The sequence below is a fragment of the Homo sapiens genome, chromosome 13 (assembly GCF_000001405.40).
Source record: "Homo sapiens chromosome 13, GRCh38.p14 Primary Assembly".
In the NCBI taxonomy this organism is placed as follows: Eukaryota; Metazoa; Chordata; class Mammalia; order Primates; family Hominidae; genus Homo; species Homo sapiens.
The window spans coordinates 30,356,669-30,377,915 of NC_000013.11; the positions used below are offsets into that span (position 1 = coordinate 30,356,669).

At 45.9% G+C, this 21,247-nt stretch overlaps 1 long non-coding RNA gene across 1 annotated transcript in view, besides 2 other annotated features; it reads right to left on the reverse strand.

Moving 5' to 3' along the window:
- Positions 1-17,246, reverse strand: part of LINC00426 (long intergenic non-protein coding RNA 426) — a 33,649-nt gene extending 16,403 nt beyond the window's left edge. Inside the window, exons 1-4 of the long non-coding RNA NR_024464.2 lie at positions 17,115-17,246; positions 15,617-15,706; positions 10,933-11,049; positions 6,493-6,558 (exon numbers count right to left, since the gene is read on the reverse strand). This is a non-coding gene — a long non-coding RNA (long intergenic non-protein coding RNA 426). The remainder of the gene's footprint in view (positions 1-6,492; positions 6,559-10,932; positions 11,050-15,616; positions 15,707-17,114) is intronic.
- Positions 20,235-20,354: an enhancer, noted in NCBI's record as "active region_7533". NCBI's record gives its function as "activates an Ori minimal core promoter by ATAC-STARR-seq in GM12878 lymphoblastoid cells {active_cell/tissue: GM12878}" and the evidence as "EXISTENCE:reporter gene assay evidence [ECO:0000049][PMID:35858748]".
- Positions 20,485-20,544: an enhancer, noted in NCBI's record as "active region_7534". NCBI's record gives its function as "activates an Ori minimal core promoter by ATAC-STARR-seq in GM12878 lymphoblastoid cells {active_cell/tissue: GM12878}" and the evidence as "EXISTENCE:reporter gene assay evidence [ECO:0000049][PMID:35858748]".

The window sequence follows — 21,247 nt, forward strand, 5'->3', positions numbered from 1 at the left end:
TCCCAGCTACTTGAGAGGCTGAGGTGGGAGGATGGCTTGAGCCCAGTAGTTCAAGGCTGCAGTAAGGGTACTGCACTCCAGCCTGGGTAACAAAGCGAGACTCTGTCTCTTAAATTAAAAATGGCCAAGAGCAGCGGCTCACGCCTGTAGTTCCAGGCCTCTGGGAGGCTGAGGCAGGCAGATTGCTTGAGCCCAGGAGCTAGAGACCAGCCTGGGCAACATGGCGAAACCCTGTCTCTACAAAAAGTACAAAAATTTAGCCAGACATGGTGGTGTATGCCTGTAGTCCCAGCTACTCAGGAGGCTGAGGTGGGAGGATGGCTTGAACCCAGGAGGTCGAGGCTGCTGTGAGCTGTGAGCTGTGATTGCACACTCCACTCCAGCCTAAGTGATGAATCGAGACCCTGTCTCAAAAAAAATAAATAAATAAAAACTTTTTGTAGTGATAAAGTCTCACTATGTTGACCAGGCTGGGCTCAAACTCCTGGCCTCAAGTGATCCTCTTGATTCAGCTTCCCAAACTGCTGGGATTATAGGCATGAGCCACTGTGCCAGGCCTAACTTTTTTATTTTTAGAAATGAGAGTCTCACTATGTTGCTCAGGCTGGTCTCAAACTCTTGGCCTCAAGTGATCCTCCTGCCTTGGCCTCCCAAAGTGCTAGGATTACAGGCACGAGCCACTGTGCCCAGCCCCAAATCCTTAAACTCCGGCCAAGGCTTTCTCCTGAAATGAGAAAAATAATTCCTGAATACCTAACTTAAAGCACTGTGATAAGTAACAAATGTAATGCAGTTTGTAAAAAATGCCTTGAGAATTATAAAGTAGCCATGTAAATGTAGGAGATTCTGGTTTTTCTCTTTTATTCTAGCAAACTAGTCCCTTTAGGGGGACCCTTATGCACTGCGCAGCTTAGCAAAGCTGGTGTCTGCATGCTTAGCCTCCCTTCCATCCCAGCCCAGCCCAGCCCAGCCCACACTCCCTATTCACCCCTTCCAGATGCTCCCACTACTGCTTGGGACAGGGCCTCCCAGGGCAGCGCTGCCTCTGCAGATGTTCCTCTCCCTGATATCACTCACCATCTCTCATGGTACATGGGCCTCAGTGCACTGAGTACACCCTCATTTTGCTGCAGCCCAGCCCATGGTTTTGGGTCTGGAGGGGACAGGAGACCAGATGGCCAGGGACGGAAGCATTGATGTAAAGAACTGTGTTTGTTTAACCTGTAGAAGACGGGATATAAAGGGCCCATGGTAGAAGTTTGCAAATGCATGCTGTTACAGAAGAAAGATTAGAGGTGTTCTGCACAGCTTTATGAGGTAGAACCAGGTGGACCCTGTGCTAGGATTTAAGACGGCAGGTTTTTAAAGAAGTTTTTAAAATGATACATGCACAGAGTTAAAAAAAAAAAAATTGCAATATATACACGCAGCCAGGCATGGTGGCTCATGCCTGTAATCTCAGCACTTTGGGAGGCTGAACTGGGCAGATCACTTGAGCCCAGGAGTTTGAGACTAGCCTGGGCCACATGGCAAAACCTCATCTCTACAAAAACTACAAAAATTAGCAGCATGTGGTGGCACATACTTGTGATCGCGGCTACTCGGGAGGCTGAGGTGTGAGGATCACTTGAGCACGGGGAGGTCGAGGCTGCAGTGAGCTGTGATGGCACCACTGCACTCCAGCCTAGGTGACAGAGCAAGACTCTGTCTAAAAAAAGAAAAAAATATATATATATATACACACACACACATACATGCATATAAACACACATACGTATATACATACATGTATAAACCTAAAATTCTTCCTTCCACCCCTGAAACCAGTTACCACAGATGCCCTCAGCAGAGGCAAACAGTTACCAATATCTTTCCATATACAACCTAAGCGTATGTTCATGTATCTCCTTTTTTTCTATCACATAAATGGAATTATTCTCTACATATTATTTAGCTAGTCTCTCTTTCTCACAAATCGACATGAATTTTAGATTTTTCCCTGTCAGTGCATGAGAATGGTTTAATTTTTTTAACAGCCTCTTGGTTTCTCATAGTACAGATATTCCATAATTTATTTCATCAGTCCCCGGTCAAACGTTTAAATTATTTCCAGCCCTTTGCTGCAATGAATATCTTTGTACACATGTCTTTGAGCCCATGGGGACTATATCTGTAGGATAAATTGTCAGAGGTAGAATGCTGGTCAAAGGGTTTGTGCATTTTAAATTTTGATAGATATGGCCAAATTGTGAGTAGATTTTAGCCTACAGTAAGAAAGAATTTTAGCAACCAAAACCACTCAAGTGGTATGTGGACGACTTTAGGAGGTTGTGAGTTTCAGAAAGGAATCAAGACCAGGCTACAAATCAACTTGTCAGAAATGCCACTGGGTATATTCAAGCACTGTAAACACACTGATCACAAAAGGCCCTTCCAACTCTGATACCCTAGCTTCCTTTTTATTTATTTTTATGTTTTAAGTGACAAAAAAATATATATTTATCATGTACAACATGATGTTTTGAAATATGTATACTCTAGTTTCCTAATCATAGGTATCACTGTAGAGACTCAATATGTATTTATTGAATATTGTTCAGAGGTAAAGGAAGACGTCATGTCATTCCCATTGGAAGGTGTGTAGAAGGAAGTGGGTCAATGCAACACATCCCAAAAGAAGTCCTCTGGTGAAGCAGTGCTGTCATGTAAGGCACTCCGCATGGCAGGCTTGCACCACGTAGGGCCTGGGCAGGTGGTTAGGGGTACAGAGGAGTTCTTTCCTGTTCTCCCCATCATCACTCACATTGCCCATGTCTGGAACTCCACATTCAGAAATGTGCTCTTTGGCAGATGTGGCCAAATAGGGAGTGCAGTTTCTGGCCCTGAATTACCATGATTAGGTCAGCATCTTCAGCAGCAGGGCCATGGCGCCCAAGTGTGTTGTGATCCATTGTGAGGAATGCGCTTATTGCTAAAGGTAACTGAGCATCCGAGGTTTCCCAGAAATGGGAAGTTCCCTACCTTACAACCCAGTTCATTTCATTCCTTGGAAAGATCTTACATATAATGGGATAAAATCTGTTCCTCTTTAATCTGTTCCTGTTTCTTGATTTTAGGTCTTCCTTTCACAACCAGTGAATGCAAAATTGTCCTCCATCTACATTCTAAGCCTCACAGAGCCTGAAGGCTGCAATTAGATGCCAACTTGGTCTTCTCTCCTTTGGGTTTGATCACTTCAGTTCTCTCAACCTTGCTTATATGTCATGTTTTTCAGATATTTGCATCTTAATTGCTGCTTTTGAACCTATCCCTTCTCACTCCAAGCAGTCAAAAGTCTCTGAAAGTGTGTTGCCCAGAACTCGGCCAGGAAGGAGTAGGGTGGAATCATCTCCCTGTTTTTCTGTGCACCTTTCTAAAATCAGCATCCCGGAGATCCCTTGCTTTGGCCTGTCAAGCAAACCCTCCCACTTTTTTGGGTAAAAGCACTGTGATTTCTCATTAGAGAGCTGTTCTTCCTTATTCTGAGAAGTCTTGGTTCTCCCTGCCCCTCCTACTCAGAGGACAGTAGCACACAGAACCCAGTTTAAGCCTTAAGATTCTGGCTTCCAGAGTCTTGAGCATTTGGAAGAAAAATGTAACAGAAAACAGTGGAACAGAGAAGTTCTGATAACCCCATTTCAGGGGTGGGGTTGTGGGGGGTGTTCTCTTTTTCCTGCAGCTTGGTTCTTCAGCATCCAACAACTATTCCATACCTTTCCAGAAAGATCCCTTTTCTGATTTAGAGTCCGTTTCAGTTTGCTTGCAACTGAAGAACCCTGACCCAGATTACCCTGTCCTGTCCCAGTCCCCATTAGGAGGTCACTGTGGACCAGACACTTCTAAATCTATTTCACACGTGTTGCCATTGAACCACACGTCCCAGTCCTGCACTTGGAAAGCTGATCTGGGACAAGAACACAGCCTTTGTTTTGGGCTATCCCAGTCATGTCCCAAATTTATGACTGGGGATCATGGATCCCTCTTCTTAGTTCACATCCATTGGTTTCCTGTCACCTATTGGGCAACTTGCCATCGAGCTCTCCCATCAAGTCACTGCCAAAAGTGTTGAGCTAATTACAGCTCATGGGTATCGGCTACTTCTGTCAGTGTGCCACCCTCCAAGGCAGGGAAGTCAGCGTTCACAGAGCTTATCTAACTGGCCAATAAGGGATGGAGCCAAGTCAAACCCAAGTCTGTCAGCCCCAAAGCCAGGGCATTGGAAGGAGAAATCCTCTAAGGAGTCCCTGCCCACAAGAGACCTAGGGGGGAGGTTGCATCTTACATGGTTCCTGAAGACCTGGGAACAAAGGGGGTTGAGGAACCATATGAAGCCAGTGCCTGGATGCAAAAGGCCCAATCTCAGACTCCATGTGCTAATTAACAGAGCAGTAGAGCTCAAGTGTTGAGGTGGGAGACAGGATGGCAGAGGAGAAGAGGCACAAGATTTCCAGCAAGACAAAGACCTGGGTTTGGAAGGATCCTCCAACCTAGGCTTCATTCAGCATCCTGGGTATTGACATTGATATACTGATGCACCGTCAGCATCTCTCAGATTCAGAGGTCGCGGGAAAGATGCCCTGCCTTCTCACGGTGCCCCTCACCCCACCTGATCTCTCCTCAGTCCCCTGCTTTGCTCCAATAAGGATGTATTTTAGGGTAGGGAATTAACAACTTAAGAAATCCCATGTGTGGGCTGGGTGCGGTGGCTCACGCCTGTAATCCCCACACTTTGGGAGGCTGAGGCGGGCGGATAATGAGGTCAAGAGATTGAGATCATCCTGGCCAACACGGTGAACCCCGTCTCTACTAAAAATACAAAAATTAGCTGGGTATGGTGGCGCACACCTGTAGTCCCAGTTACTTGAGTGGCTGAGGCAGGTAAATCGCTTGAACCTGGGAGGTGGAGGTTGCAGTGAGCTGAGATCGCACCACGTCACTGCAACCCGGCAACAGAGTGAGACTCCGTCTCAAAAAAAAAAAAAAAGAAAGAAAGAAAGAAAAGAAAAAGAAAGAAATTTGATGTGTCCAGAGAAAATGCAAACATTGTGGGATAATGGAAATTATAATAAAATAAATTTAAATGTTGCTTTTGTTGAAAATTTTTTTCTCACCCTGATTTGGTAGTTTAAGATTCTAATTTTACAACCTTGGTCACTGGGAGAACCTTGACTGATTCCTATCATTTTAAACAGACTTTTATAGTCACAGCATCTAGAGAGAGTACATTTCCTCCTCTTTTTCAACATATCACATTTCTTGGCAGAAATAGCTAGCAGAAAGCACCAAAATGTTTATAATGAGGATAAAATCAAAATTTCGCACATCAGATTTCTCTTTTAGATTATTTCTTCCTGTTAAATCTTTCCCTATTTTAACTTTATTTTAGTGGCTAACAATTTAACATTTATTTTGACACTGTTCAATCATCTTATAGGATTTTAGTGTCAAAGGACATTGGCTCTGGGGTTAAAAGTTTCTAAACTGAAAGGACTTTGCCAGCATAATCACGAAGAAGCTTGGCTGGGTTTAGGCGGTTGTCCTCTCCCACTTGAATTCCGAGGGTGAACTACAGAATGGCCTTCCTGCTTTCTCAGCCTCCACTTAACTTGACTTCTCTCTATGATTTTCCTTTTTAAAACTGTACACTGTGCTCTTGATTCTGATGTAAAGGTAGTTTGTAGGCCAGACTCAGTGTCTCATGTCTGCAATCCCAGTTGTTTGGGAGGCTGAGGTGAGCCTCAAGACCAGCTTGAGCAATATAGTGAGACCCTCGTCTCTACAAAATAAATTTTAAAAATTAGCCAGGCATGGTGGTGCATGCCTGTAGTCCCAGCCGCTTGAGAGACTGAGGTTGGAGGATTGCTTGAGCCCAGGAAGTTGAGGTTGCAGTGAGCTTGGGCAACACCAGGGCAACAGAGCAAGACCCTGTCTCAAAAAAAAAAAAAAAAAAAAAGTAGCTTGTGGTGGCCATTAGGAGTAAAGATCAAGTTCAAGTTCAAATCAAAAGTATGATAAGACTCACAGCAGGAGCCACAGGAAGAGCCTTTATTTAACCCCCAGCCCAGGCCAGGATGCCCAAGTGACCTTTGCCACGTTCAGCTGAGTCACCAGGGTCCCCAAATCTTTTGCATTTTGCCCTAAAACTGCTTTCCCATCTGTGCTCTCAGTGACTAACTCCATCATGAATGTGACCCAATTTGTTCGGCAAGATGTGATTTTTTTTCTTTTTTTTTTTTAAACTCATGCTGCTTTTACTGGTCACGATTCTCTCTCAGGCATTTAGCGACTCCATTTCGGCACCCGCCCGGCCCTGCTGCTGAGCTGGATTGATAGTTTTCTCCCCAGCTGTTCCCTTCCAGCCCGCCCTCCTCTCCCTGGCAAATCCATATTCCATTTGCTTTTCTGCAGCATTTTGATATCTCCAGAGTCTCCTTAAAATAGATAAACACTAACCTCTGAGACAAGTGGTGAGGCAGAGCCCAGACTCGCATCAGCTTAACAATCTGCTCCAGGAGGCGGCTGGATGGAAAGAATAACGATAGGAGTGATCCGCTTATCGAGGCTTTTTGTCATTTACAAAGCGCTTTTGCTTGCATGATCGTATTGAGTATAAGCATGGGTATAAGCACTACTTCCATTTAATAGAAAAAGAAACTGAGTCTCAAAGAGGTGAGGAACTTCTCTAGATGGTAAATAAGAGGCAGGGCCAGGACTGGAATCTGTCCTTTTAAAAACTGCTGTATAATTTACATTCAATAAGACACAGACCTTCAGTATTCAGTCTGATCAATTTTGACAAAGGGATGCACTTTGTGTAACTACCACCCCAAAAGGGGAAAGATGTTTCCATCACTCAGAACGTCTCCTTGTGCCCTTTCTCAGTAAACCCCCGGCCCCTTCTGACTTTGACACAAAAGATTCATTTTGCCTTCAACATAAGTCTGACTCCAAACTTCTGTATTTGAAATTCCATCCTTTTTCTCCTACACCATGCTGTGTCTTTGGAATTAACAAAATGGGCACCATGGGTCCCACCTGGCTGGAATCTATAGATATACGACTTTAGGAGGCCAGGCCATGGTCTTTTAGCTGAAAAACTAGGTCAGCTGGTGGAGTGGACCTCGAAGCTTTCAGTTTTTGGAATGTTTGGAGAGCAATTCCAAAAATACACACAGGCCCAAGCCCTATCTCTAGAGTGCACCTTGAAGCTGAACTCACCACTCTCCAGCCTCAATAGCACCTCTATGTGCAGACGGTCACTTAAGGGAAATTGGTATAAGGCTGAAAGAGGAGTCAGAATTCAGCTTTGAGGCAAAGAACACAAGACTCCAGTCCCACACGTCTAGAGCCTTCCCACCTACCTTAAACTGCCACCGCAGGGATCTGGGGTAGTTGCAGGCAACACCCTCCATTCTCACATCAGAAAATTCTCTTTTGTGGACTTTTCATGCCCATCAGGCAGCGTAATCTGACAATGGAGAACTTTGCAACTGAAGGCCTCCATTTCAGTGGAAAAGAAGAAAGAAGCAAAATCATGAAAGCCCACTCCATTACTTCCAAGGCTACGCAGTAAAGGGAACTAACTGCTGAGTCACCGTGGGCCTCATTCCTATCAGGCTTCCATTAAGGAAGGGAGACATAACACAATCAGCCTTATCTGTTTATCTGGCCAGTTTTATGCCAAACTCCTTGTTCAGTCCAGCAGGTTAACTGATTCCTCTTGGATTTTGTTTATATGCAGTGACATGCCAGTAAATTACCAGCTGATTCTCAGGGAAGGGGAAAAAAAGCCCCCATGTGTAGTATTTGGATATTTCTGTGGTTTCACTGAAGGCGGATTTGAGAGTGTGCCTCTGCAACCTGGCTCTAGCACACTTCCAACTTACAATAATACCTTTAATTTATTCAGCACACCCCTACCTGAGAGGCGACACAGTGATCTATGGGGTGGAGATTTGAGTGCCCTATCCCCTCTGCATGCTCTCCCAAAGCCATTTTCTCCCCCCAAAAAATGGGGCGCTGCACACTCAAGAGTTTGCAAGGGCCTCCTCTCCCATATTGGAATCTCCAAATAAACCTTCAAAGTTATTTGGAAGTGTAGAATAAACATAAGAGAGCCCGAGATAAATTCCCACAAACCCCCAATCCAGAGGGGCTGAGTCGCCAGCCTCCACCGTTCTTTACTGGCCTCCATCAATGGCCAGCCTGTAAAAGTTTTTAGAATATCCCTAAACCTTCAGTTTTCTTTCTTGTTTGGTTTTGTTTTTCTCTTTAGAAGACTAATTGCAGAAAAGCCCAAGAATGCACTCATTTCCTGCTCCCGGATGAGCATCAGCAGCCATGCAGAGAGGAAAGGAATGGCAGGAAGAGGCTCCAGCTGAAAACACCATTGAAGCCAGGAGTGAGCGCTAGGGTCCGTAAATATCGAGAGGCTGCCACGCTGCCAATCATACTCCTCCTCTTTAAGGCCACAAGCGTAGGAGGAAAGATGAATGCCAATGTGCAGGCTCAGAAAATGATTTGTGTGGTGGAAAGATTGTTTTTCCTTTTTTAAAAAATTTAATTTTTAAATTTATGATTGACATGATTGCACATACTTATGGGGTACAATGTGATGTTTCAGTACAAGTGTACATTGTGTAATGATCGAATCAAGGTAATTAACACATCCAGCACCTTAAACATTTATTATTTCTTTGGGATGAGAACATTCAAAACCCTCTCTTCTAGCGATTTTGCAATCTGTAATACATTATCATTACCTCCAGCCATCCTTTTCCATTTTCATCAACGTGACTGTGTTGGGTCAGGCTGGCAGCAGGGCTCCTTGCTCTGCCGGCATTTACAGCACCACACTGTTCTCTTTGGCCACCTTAATTAGCACTCTCTCATCATGTGCCTTTGCTCCTTCTTCCCTCCAGAATGTGACCTGATTCTGCATGACCTCTCCCAATCTCGTCTTCATTTCCTGTCCCAACACATCCTTGCTCTTGACATTCTGCTCTGGGTTTTCTTTTCTGCTCCACACATTTCTTTGGCAGGAGCTTTGGCTTTACATTTATAAGCCTTCTGATGACTGTAGATATTCAAATAATTATCCAAGCTTCCTGTCTCTCTTGTTCAGTACGGTCTCTTTTGTGTGATGCATTCATTAAAACCCTCTGACAGACACTTTGCCCACTGTTATGGAGGGGTTCAAAGATATCCAAGAAGAGGTCCCTGCCCTCAGAGATTTTGTAGTCTAGCAGAGGAATAATAATAATATCTATGCTGTACTGAGAGCTTTCTACATGTCAAGCAGATTCCTCCCATTACCTTAGGCCTCCGAATAATCCTTGAAATAGACCCTAAGGTTATTCCCATCCCATATAGGCGATAACTGAGGCTCAGAGAGGTTAAGTAATTTGCCAAGGTCACATGGCTGGTAAATGGTGGAGATAAATACGGAGCTGGGATTCTAATGCAAGTGGTTCCAAAACCTAAGCCCTTACCACTGTGTGACAGTTAAGTATCCAAATAACAACAATACAAGGCAGAGAGTGCTGATAGCAAAAACAAAGCAGAAGTTAAGAACTGGGTGGTTTTAGAGGGTGGAGATAGGAGATGATGGTTCATAAGAACCTTTTTTGGGGGAAGTAGTGAGCTCCCAGTCCCTGAAGGTACTTAGGCAGAAACTGGAGCTATCTGTGAGGCTCTGAACTAGTGTCAGCATCTGAAAGATGCCTCTAGGAGTCCTTCTGGCCCTTGGAATGCTGATTTTAGCACATGGCCTATGTGCAGAGCCTAGAAGATTTTTTTTCTTTTTTTCTTTCTCTGAGACAGAGTCTCGTTCAGTTGGCCAGGCTGGAGTGCAGTGGTATGATCTCGGCTCACTGCAACCTCCTCTTACCAGGTTCAAGCAGTTCTTGTGCCTCAGCCTCCTGAGTAGCTGGGATTACAGGCATAGGCCATCACTCCCAGCTAATTTTGGTATTTTTAGTTAGAGATGAGGTTTCACCATGTTGGCCAGGCTGGTCTCAAACTCCTGACCTCAAGTGACCCACCCACTTCGGCCTCCCAAAGTGCTGGGATTACAGGTGTGAGGCACTGCACCTGGCCAAGAATGCTTCTTGATGGTGCAGATTGAAGGAAGAAGCCAGGGACCAAATCCTCAGAGCTAGAACACTCAGGGGGCACAGTTAGTTTTGACTGGAGTCCTCAACTGCTTTGAAGCTTGCCCATCACTTGGGCCAGGAATATATATATATATATATATATATATCTCACAGTCACTGTTTGACACTTAAAGAAGCAAGAAATGGGACCCTTTAAGCCAGTAGTTCTCAAACTATGATCCGGAATTTATTCCATAAGCTGGACTTGGGAGTTCCACAGTAAAATTAAATCATTGCACTTATCGCTAACACTCAGGGGTGATGCAGTTATACTAGTGTACTAAAGGCACCTCAACTTCAACAGATTCCATTGAAAATGTTCCCTCAAATGTTTCTTAAAATTTCAGCACCTGCTCTTACTTATCTGACAGTGGACACTGTCACAATAAAACAAATAAATGAGTGTAGCTAACGACTATTAGCAGAGAAACAGAAGTAACCAGTTAGATTTGGCATGACAGCTTGATTTTTGTATTTTCATAGATGGTGGGTGGTAGTTTTGGATTGCATACATTTATTACAGTCATACTTTCTGCCCGTAAAATTGTTCTTAGATCATTTAATAGAAAAAGTACATCAAGGCCGGGCGCGGTGGTGGCTCATCCCTGTAATCCCAGCACTTTGGGAGGCCAAGGAGGGCGGATCGCCTGAGGTCAGGAGTTTGAAACCGGCCTGGCCAGTATGGTGAAACCCCATCTCCACTAAAAATACAAAATTAGCCAGGCATGATGGTGCTCACCTGTAATCCCAGCTACTTGGGACGCTGAAGCAGAAGAATTGCTTGAACCCGGGAGGCGGAGGTTATAATGAGCCGAAATAGCGCCATTGCACTCTAGGCTGGGCGACGAGTGAAACGCTGTCTCAAAAAAAGAGAAAAAATTACGTCAATGTTTCATTGTGTTCTACAAAAAGTCCCATGGCTTCAGGTGTTGCCCCTCACCTCCCTCACACGCCGTGTGGCTGAGTGATGATTATGTGGTTGTTGACCTGCTGTTGACCTGCAGTGTGAATGAACTTGTGGAGATTCTAAATGGTGGGACTGTGCTGTTACTAGGCTGGAGCGAGACACTTTAAGTCCTGATGGAAAATGGTTCAACCTAGGGGTGCAAAATACAAAGGAGGGTCCCAAGCCTTCTCTCCCATTAGCACTGCTTCCCTCACCGCAAATGGTGCATTCTCCGTCGGGTAAGGATGTATCAGAATCATCCCAGGGAGACTCTGGTCCACAAAATGGACCCCCCACTGCCAGCTCCCGAAGGACAACTCCCACGCCTATCACACACCTGTGAGAATCTCAGGCCCGTGGGAGGAGGAGCGCATGTACAATTGCAAAAAGCCAGACAGGTGAGTTCTACCCCTTCATCTGCTTAAAAACCGCTACCTGGGGCCGGGCGCAGTAGCTCACGCCTGTAATCCCAGCACTTTGGGAGGCCGAGACGGGCGGATCACCTGAGGTCAGGAGTTTGAGACCAGCCTGACTAACATGGCAAAGCCCCATCTCTACTAAAAACACAAAAATTAGCCGGGTGTGGTGGCGGGCACCTGTAATCCCAGCTGCTTGGGAGGCTGAGGCAGGAGAATCGCTGGAACCTGAGAGGTGGAGGTTGCAGTGAGTGGAGATCGCACCCCTGCGCTCCAGCCTGGGCAGCAGAGTGAGATTCCATCTCAAAAAAAAAAAAAAAAAAAAAAAAAGAACCGCTACCTGGACCCTCAATGAACAGGACCTTTAATGATGTTTCACTAACGTTTGAATGCTCCCCTTTTAAAGAACCCCTGTAGCCAGCAGGGGGCTGTGACTTTTTTCTCTTCCTCAGTCCCACCCTTCTCTCCAGCCCTGCACCTGGAACTGAGACCAAATGCACCAATCCCTGAAAGAGGCCCTCTGTGCCCCATTCGCCTGCAAAGCCAGTGTAGGCCCCAGCATCTTTGCCCACCAGAGCCAGAGCCACACCAGTTGCCTTGAGCTGATGCACCATAGCCTCAGGCTGCCGGCACTGCCGAGTCCTCTCTTTGGAGCACTGGTCTGCCCCCTACTCACTCTCTCCCCAGCCGAGCCCATCTCTTCTCTGAGGCTTCAGCAATGCACTCGATGCAGATGCTGTTAGCCAAGACTTCTGGAACTGCCTCCTGGACCTTCCCCCTAAATACTCATCAGGCACCTCAAACTCAGCATGTTCCCTGCTAACCCCATCATTTCCTGCTCCAACCCAGCTACCACTCCCTGTGATTGTGAACTAGTGGGTGTTACCACAACCTACTTGGCCATTTGAGCTGGAAACCTGGAAGCCATCCTTGAATTCTCATTCTCTGTCTCCTGGCCCCTCATTCAATGACCAATCAAACTTCAAGTCCTACTTATTTTTTTTACCTGGCTTTCCCATGATCTCAGTCTTAGCTTAAGCCCTCATCATCTCATCTGGATTTACTGTAACAGATATCCCTGGCTTGGCTTTTTCCCTCATGAATTTCATCCTCCATGCTGCTGCCAGGGGGATCTGTTTACAAAGCAACTCGGAGCCAGGTGTGGTGTCTCACCCCTGTAATCCCAGTGCTTTGGGAGGCTGAGGCAGGAGGATGGTTTGAGCCCAGGAGTTCAAGGCTGCAGTGAGCCATAATTACACTACTGTACTCCAGCCTGGTGACAGAGTGAGACACTTCCCTAAAAAATAAAATAATGATAATAAATAAGCAACTCAGACATCTAATGACACCAACATTTCTGACCAGCCAATAAAGCACAAACTCCTTTATATATTACACCTAGGTCAGGTGCGGTGGCTCACGCCTGTAATCCCAGCACTTTGGGTGGCCAAGGCAGGTGGATCACCTGAGATCAGGAGTTCAAGACGAGCCTGGCCAACATGACAAAACCCCGTATCTACTAAAAATACAAAAAATTAGCCAGGCATTGTGTCGGGCGCCTGTAATCCCAGCTACTGATGATGCTGAGGCCGGAGAATTGCTTGAGCCCAGGTAGGGGAGGTTACAGTGAGCGAGATGGCACCAGTATACTCCAGCCTGGGTGACAGAGTGAGACTCCGTCTCAAAAAAAAAAAAAAAGTAAAAAAAAATTAATAAAATATATATTACACCTGGCCCTACCTCCCCACCTTTATCTTCTACCTCGCCTAGACTGACATTTTAAGCCCTATCAAGATGCAGCTGTTCATCCCTTGCCTTCCTCTCCTAAACCTGATCATGCTTCCACCTCCCATTGCCTCAAAGGCTGACCTTCAGCTGTTATCCCCCACCATCTCTGACCCTGCCTCTTCCCTCCCAAAGCTCCCATGACCCCAGTGCTTACTTCTGGATGACCCTATTGATTTCTATTATATGTTTATGTGTTGTATCTTGAGGAAAGGGATGTGCTTTCTACTGTCTTTGAATCACCATCCCCTAGAATAGTGCCCAGCCAGTCTTAGAGCAGAATGACAAACAGGGTGAAAATCTAAAGCCAGTTTCAGCACAAGACTGTCAGTATTTTTAGCCTTTTGAGAGGAAATACCGGAAGTCATCACCACCCCCAAACATCCTATGGGCATTTCTTTACTATTAAAACATCCCCATGTTCCTTAACACACAGGTGTGGGGATGGGATGGCTCACATCACCTTCTTGCATTCATCCCTGATTCTTCTTCTCAGTGTCTCCAGTTAGGTATAGACCTGAGTGAGAGACAAGGGTTGAGACCCAACTCTCCATCCCAAGCTATCTTTCCCAAGACCCGAAATCACCTGAGGCTCCCATCTACCTCCCTAAACACACACACACAGACCAAGTGTCTCCTCCCTGCCACACCCTGCTCTCATGCCTGGTTCCCCCCATGGCCTGAAGTGCCTGCCACCAACTTGGCCCAAGTCAGCAGCAATCTGGTGGCATCTCATCATCCCCAGGATGACTATTGGCTTGACACCCTACCAGACTTCTGGTTGCCCCAGTCTCCTGTGGCCACAGCTAAGAAGCTGAGCCTTTGATAAGTAGACAGCACTATTAGGCCCTTAAAGGTCACCCATGCCTTGCACCATAGCCAACAGAGGTGAGAAACATGGCTTCTGTTCCAGGTGATCCGCTGTATACCCTGTTCTGATAGTTACTGAGTACTTACCAAGTGTATGCCACCTACTGACTGTCTTACAAAAGGTGCAACTTGGCATCATAAGAACATGGGCTCCACAGTCAGGCATAGGTTCAAATCCCAGGTCTGCCACTTAGTAGTTGCGTGACCTTGAGCAAGTTACCAACCTTTCTGTGCCTCAGCTTTCCATCTGTAAAATGGGACTGACCACAATAGTACCTCCCTCATAGGATTGCTCTGAGGAATAAATGAGTTAACAGAAAAACAGTGCCTGGGATGTAGTTGGGGCCACACAAGTATTAGCTGTCATTATTCATGTGCATTAGTTCATCGACTTCTCACATCACCCCATTTTACAGATGAGAATACTGAGGCTAAAGAGACAAAGAAGCCCAGACCTAAGCATCTCCAGCATCCATGTCCTCAACCAGTGAGGCCATGCATGGCCCAAATCCCCTCAGCCATGCAGCTAGGCCTCCATTCCCAACGCTTAAACTGGGCAAATCTTCCACATCCTTATATTGATATCACCTATCATTTTAGTAGGAAATGAGCTCTGAGTTGATTCAAAGGTAGGAAATCCTCCTACTTAAAAACAGTTCGTTTCATAAAAACGAAAACCCTTGTTAATTAACACTCCATTAACAGGAAAATGATATGGTGGCAGACTGAGGGCTCAGGGTTCCAAGTTTTGACTCAGTGTTGTCAACAAGCACCTCTTTTTGCCCAGGGAATATCAGAGAATTGTTCATACAGAGACAGCGACCGCAGATGGGGCACTAGTGCCTTCAGCTGCAAAAGGTCGTCTGGCAGGAAGCATGTTGGTCTCCTGGCAGTTTCTTGGGCCATGTGACATAACCGCCAGGTTATACTTCTGCAATTACAGTCCCCAGGGACCTGCCGCATGAAACAGACATTGGTTGTGATCCTGTAAAAAGCCGCAAGCAGTGGCTCTTTCAGTACAAGGAAACCCTTGGGACAGAAAAGTTTACTTTTGCTCAGGCTTTATGGTGACAGCCAGCGTGATCAACAGGAATGCTGCAGTTGGGTGACGCATGAGGCTCAGGAGCCTTTGCGCTTGACTTTGAAAGATTATAAATACACCAGGCTCGCCAAGCATAGCCAGTCAGTTACAAATTACGAGTCATCTTTCGGTTGTTGCTGAACTTCCTTTACACCTCTTGTTTTGAACACAGTGAGCAAACAACGTCTAATCTTTTGGCTGTGGAGTTCCAAGTACACCACAAGGCATCGGGACACACCTTTACCCCAGCTGCTTTGTGTGGTTGCAGGTTAACCAGACATGCAGCTAGGAGTTCACCTAAAACCTTCCTTTCCCCGGTACATACCTTGGTGTTGATTTGACAGCTGGATGCTGAGTATTGATCCCAGTGTTCAGGGATAGTTACTTCATTAAGACTTCTGAGATCCCCCATTTGCTTGAAGATAAAAACAGGCAAAGGTATAAACAGATAAACAGTCACACAAATAAGTAGCTGTGTGGGCCATTACTTTTAAAGCATAGTAGATGTTATTTGTGTTTGGAGAAGCTTAATGATACACTCAAGAATCCAATAGTAGAAACTGTTTGCTTTCAGGAAGAAAACGTTATATCAGGAAGGTATGTTTGAAGAAAAGAACTATATAACAGCGATCCACAATACACCTGTTCATTTGTAGCATAATAGTTACACCTGCTCCCTGGGGCTTTTTTGAGATTTCAGTCTTTGGTGTAAGACACACATACACACATGTGCACACACAATGGTAAGCATGCATGCTCTTCAGCTTCAACCCTCAGTGCGCAGTAAAATAAAAAATATAGTTGAATCATCTGTCTCAGCCCCAGCTAGAGCCCACGTCTTCCAACATGAATTTTAAAATACCTTTTTGCCTTTTAAAATATGCTGTAGAGGCCGGGCGCGGTGGCTCACGCCTGTAATCCCAGCACTTTGGGAGGTCAAGGCAGGCAGATCACGAGGTCAGGAGATGGAGACCATCCTGGCTAACAAGGTGAAACCCCGTCTCTACTAAAAATACAAAAAAGATTAGCTGGGCGTGGTGGCAGGTGCCTGTTGTCCCAGCTACTCAGGAGGCTGAGGCAGGAGAATGGCGTGAACCCGGGAGGCGGAGCTTGCAGTGAGCCGAGATCGCGCCACTGCACTCCAGCCGGGGCAACAGAGCGAGATTCCATCTCAAAAAAAAAAAAAATGCTGTAGATGAGTTTTAGTTTATCCGGGTCCTTTGTAATTAATCTCTGCATTCATCATAATTGGAAGAAAAGCTCAAAGTAAGAAAATAGCTTTCCTCCAAGTTTATTGCAATCAGAGAAAAATACAATTTAAATGTTTTTGTTTCCCATTTCTGTTCCTTACATGCATTGTCTAGAGTGGTTCCTGGTCTATAAGCCAGTGGGTTGAGATACCTGACCAGACCACCTTTTCAACCCAGTTCTTTCTCCTCTTTGTATTTCTCCCATACAATACAGTATTGAATATTTCATAACCTATGGGTGTATGTTTTTGGCAATGTGGCTAAGTCAGGCAGCATTGAGGACTGTCCTGGTGACAGTCCGGTGCAGCCCTCACCCAGGCTCCCACATTCACACCCCTCCACTCTCCAGTGGGCTGTGTAAGTTAACGGCAAATAAATGGCCCAGAATGGCTTCCTGTTAGAGAAAAAAAGGGACAAAGACTTCTGCCCTTAAAACTCTGGTAACAAAAGTAATCTAGTGGAAATCAACATTACTAGGAATATCCTATGATTTTGGTGGTGTTGAGTTCAAAGACAGCATGGCCGAATTGTGACCATCCACCCAGTCACATGAGGCAAAAACCCAGGCCCTACCTGTGTCCTGACCTCCAGCTTCCTCCCCACGGCCAGTTGGTTAGAACGTGTAGGGAGTGTACCTCTCCCAGCCGTGGAATCCCCTCACCATCTTCACCCCTTCCCCACCTTCAAAGACTTTCATGGCCGAGTGTGGTCTGACCACACTTGATCCAAAGCCCTTCCTCTGAGCTCTCAGCTCCACGTCACAACCTCGTGACCACGTGCCTCTCACTGTCATGTGCTTAGATATGTGTGTGTGTGTCCACCTCACCACACACTGTGAGATCCTTGAGGGCACGTTGTCTCTTTCATTTCTGTGTCTCCAGTGCCTAAAATGGAAAGTGCTCACTTACTAAATAAATATACAATATAAAAAATAATTTTTATCCCTTGTCCCATTTGAGATGGAAAATGAGTAAAGTTTACAAGTATTAATATAGTCAGCATCCCACTAAGACCACACAGACACTGAGATGAGCAGAGGATGCTGAGGAGCAAATGCAAAATAAACTATGAGAACTGTGACAGCTTCCAGTGCTCTTCATTATAAATATCAGCAATTGCTAATATCCAATAACATGTCACACACTCTACATTAAATCATCACAAGTCTCTAAGGCAGGTGTTAGTTTTCTCTTTGTACAGCCCAAGAAGCTGAGACAAGAGTCACACAACCAGCCAATAGAGAGAAAAGATTCAAACCCGGAGACCTTCTGTCTCTAATCCCACCCTCCTCCCACTGTCTCCTGCTGCCTCTCTGTTTCAAAGCTTGGCTCTGAGACTATGAGCACTGCCAAAATTTTACAACAGTTTGCGTATGTCATGGTCTGCAAAAGCTGTGGATGGCACTGTGGTGGCAGCCTCAATAGAAGGCTGAGACTACTTACCAGAGGGAGGATTTCCTGAGCTCCGATCACACCTGCTCTTTGTTCTCTCTCTGTCTGTCTCTCTGTGTGTGTCTCTCTCTCTCTCTCTCTCTCTCTCTCTCTCTCTCTCTCTCTCTCTCAATACAGACAGGGTCTCACTCTATTGCTCATGCTGGAGTGCAGTGGCGTGATCATAGCTCACTGCAGCCTCAAAGTCCTGGGCTCAAGTGATCCTCCTGCTTCAGTCTCCTGAGTAGCTGGGACTACAGGCATGCACCACCAGGCCTGGCTAATTTATTTATTTTTATTTTAATTTTGTAGAGACAAGGTCTCGTCCCTTCCCCAGACTGATCTCGAACCCCTGGGCTCAGGAGATCCTCCCACCTCGGCCTCCCAAAGTGCTGGGATTACAGATGTGAGCCACCACTCCTGGCCCACACCTACTCTTTATCCTCAACCCACACCCCCAGGCTCAAACTCAAAAGGAAGGAGCAAACCCTAGAAGCTGCGTAAAACACACCTTGACCTAAAATGTGCTCATGACCAGGCAACTTGACTACATATTCTCCTCGACCTACGGTGGAGTGACATCCCTATAAAAGCCATTGTAAATTGAAAATATTGAAAGTCTAAAATGCTTTGAATACACCTAACCTATCGAATATCAGAGCTCAGCCTCGCCTCCCTTAAACGTGCTCAGAACACTTACATTAGCTTACAGTGGGCAACATAATGTAACACAGGCCTATCTATGTTATAATACAGTGTTGAGTATCTCATGTGATTTATTGAATACTGTACTGAATGTGAAACAGAATGGTTGTCCGGGTACTCACCATTAGCTGACACAGCTGAACGCACACTGCGCCTGAAGAGCGTTTGAAGCATTGAACTAAAATTAATTGCTGGGTGATGGGGATGCTACAACGACAGGGTCATCAATTTCTCTCTCTTCTGCTGAGGCTGGAGAACCACGGGTAGAAGGCGCTGGAGCATCAACGCTTGATGGTTTGGCAGGCGTAGTGCTCTTCCTTCAGGAAGGCATCAGGTGTCCGTGGTTTACCCTTCTGATGGCAGGGCTGCCTGGGTGCTTTGGCTCACAGCCATGCCCAGCATCAGGAGAGTGTCATACAGCATATCCCTTGCCTGTGGGATAAAGGCCAGTCTTCAGAATCCGAAGTGCACTTTTTGTTTTTTTTTTTTGAGACGGAGTCTCACTCTGTTGCCCAGGCTGGAGTGCAGTGGCATGATCTTGGCTCACTGCAACCTCCACCTCCCAGGTTCAAGCGATTCTCCTGCCTCAGCCTCCTGAGTAGCTGGGACTACATGCGTGTGCCACCATGCCTGGCTAATTTTTGTATTTGTAGTAGAGACGGGGTTTCACTGTGTTAGCCAGGATGGTCTCAATCTCCTGACCTCATGATCCACCCTTCTCGGCCTCCCAAAGTGCTGGGATTGCAGGCGTGAGCCACCGCGCCCAGCCCTGAAGTGCACTTTCTGCTAAATGCCTGTCACTGTCATACCATCCTAAAGTTTAAGCTGGAACTCTCTATGCTTGCACCTGTTGCCTGAAGGGTGTATTAGAAATAATAGTTTCCTCCAACCCCTCCCCACCTCATTTGTGGAAGAATCTCATGTCTCCCTCCTAGAAATGGATTCAGCCTGAGATTCTCAAGACCAAGGTGGCATCCCAGGGTTCCAGGCTCTGGAGACAAGGATGTGGAGGGAAGGGGGTTAGGGGGAGGTCACTCTGGGAAAACACATGTAACCTAGATCCCCAGTGAGCTAAGTGAGACTGACTCCTAGATGGAAATAGCCCCAGCGGACTTGTCACTGCAAGAATTCTGGTCTCCCTGGATACCTAGCATGCTCAAGAGCCCACTTGAAACACTGAAACACTTCAGCATACTGTATGTGCTCAGGGGAGTGGCTGAGACTAGCAGGTTGAGGAAGGAAAAGGAAGAGGGCCTTCTATGTGCCAAGTCCTAGAGCTCAGGCACCATACCAGGAGCCAACATGAAAAATAGTCTGCAGCAGACATTGCTCTCACCTCACACAAAACCACTCCAACCTCCTAGCAAGATTTCCTGTGCACCAAAGCCTGAAACACCAAAGACCTCTTCCTCCAAAGTCCCTTGCACTAGGGTTTCCCCAGAGTAATCTTCCAGGTCGATTATAATAATAATAGCAGCTTACCCAGGTAGATGCTCTAGTGCATGGTATAGCCTGAGCATTTTAAGTGGCCACCACAGTGCCCCTCTGGAAGCACAGAGGTGGAGGTGCTTCGGACCTTCTCCAGCAGGGATGACAGTGGCACTATGTCTAGTCAATCTCTAACCTCAGGGGCAGTCAGCAGCATCAGCACAGCTTCCTGGTTCAGCAGCTTTCCGGCCTGCAGCACAGGCAATGTGGTTTTTGAGTTCACAGTGGAAGCAGCAGATACAGCAGCTACCTGACTAAGCCAGTTTTGCAGTGTGGTTCTGAGACTGTACCTGGACCTAGACCCACTCTGTAGCCTCCCTCTCCAGCCCTTGACATCATTCTATAGCCCAGTGGTTCTCCAAGGGTGGGCTCTGGACCAGCAGCACCTGGGAACTTGTTAGAAATGCAAATTCTTGGGCCCCACCCCAGACCTGCTGAATCAGAAACTCTGGGGGCGGGACCTGGTAGGCTTGACTTTAGCAAGCCTTCTAGGTGATTCTGCTATGCCCTTAAGTTTAGGGACCTCTGCTGAAAGTCATCCACCTCTAATAAATCCATTTCTACTATAACTAGAGTGGATCCTGCTGTCTGCAGATTCATCCTGACTGAATCACAGTCGCTGTCCTCATGTTGTCCATAAGGAAGACAATAAATAATGACAAAGCAGCATGTCATTCTGGGGGAAGAAAAGAACAGGGTCACCTTACCCAGCCAAGAATGGTGACCTCCCAACTATTTTTATAATCTAGCCTTCGCAACAATTTTGAACATGCACCCTCAATAGTTATATTTATTTCTAAATTTTATATATACTCTATTAAACATTTAAAAATTATAAATAGAAACCTAAAAGATGAGATTTTTTTAAATGAATATAAATTAACGTTCTAATACTTTCTTCCTGAATCTCTAAGGATTGATTTGGCACTTTAGCAATCACTGCTCTAGAATGTCAGGATAACCTTTTGGCAAAAGTAACAGCAGAATCAAAGGAATTAAAAGGAGGGTGCAGGATATTTTTGTAGAACTTAGGCAAGGAAGCATCACGAGGTGACAATGACAATAATAATGATAATGACAATG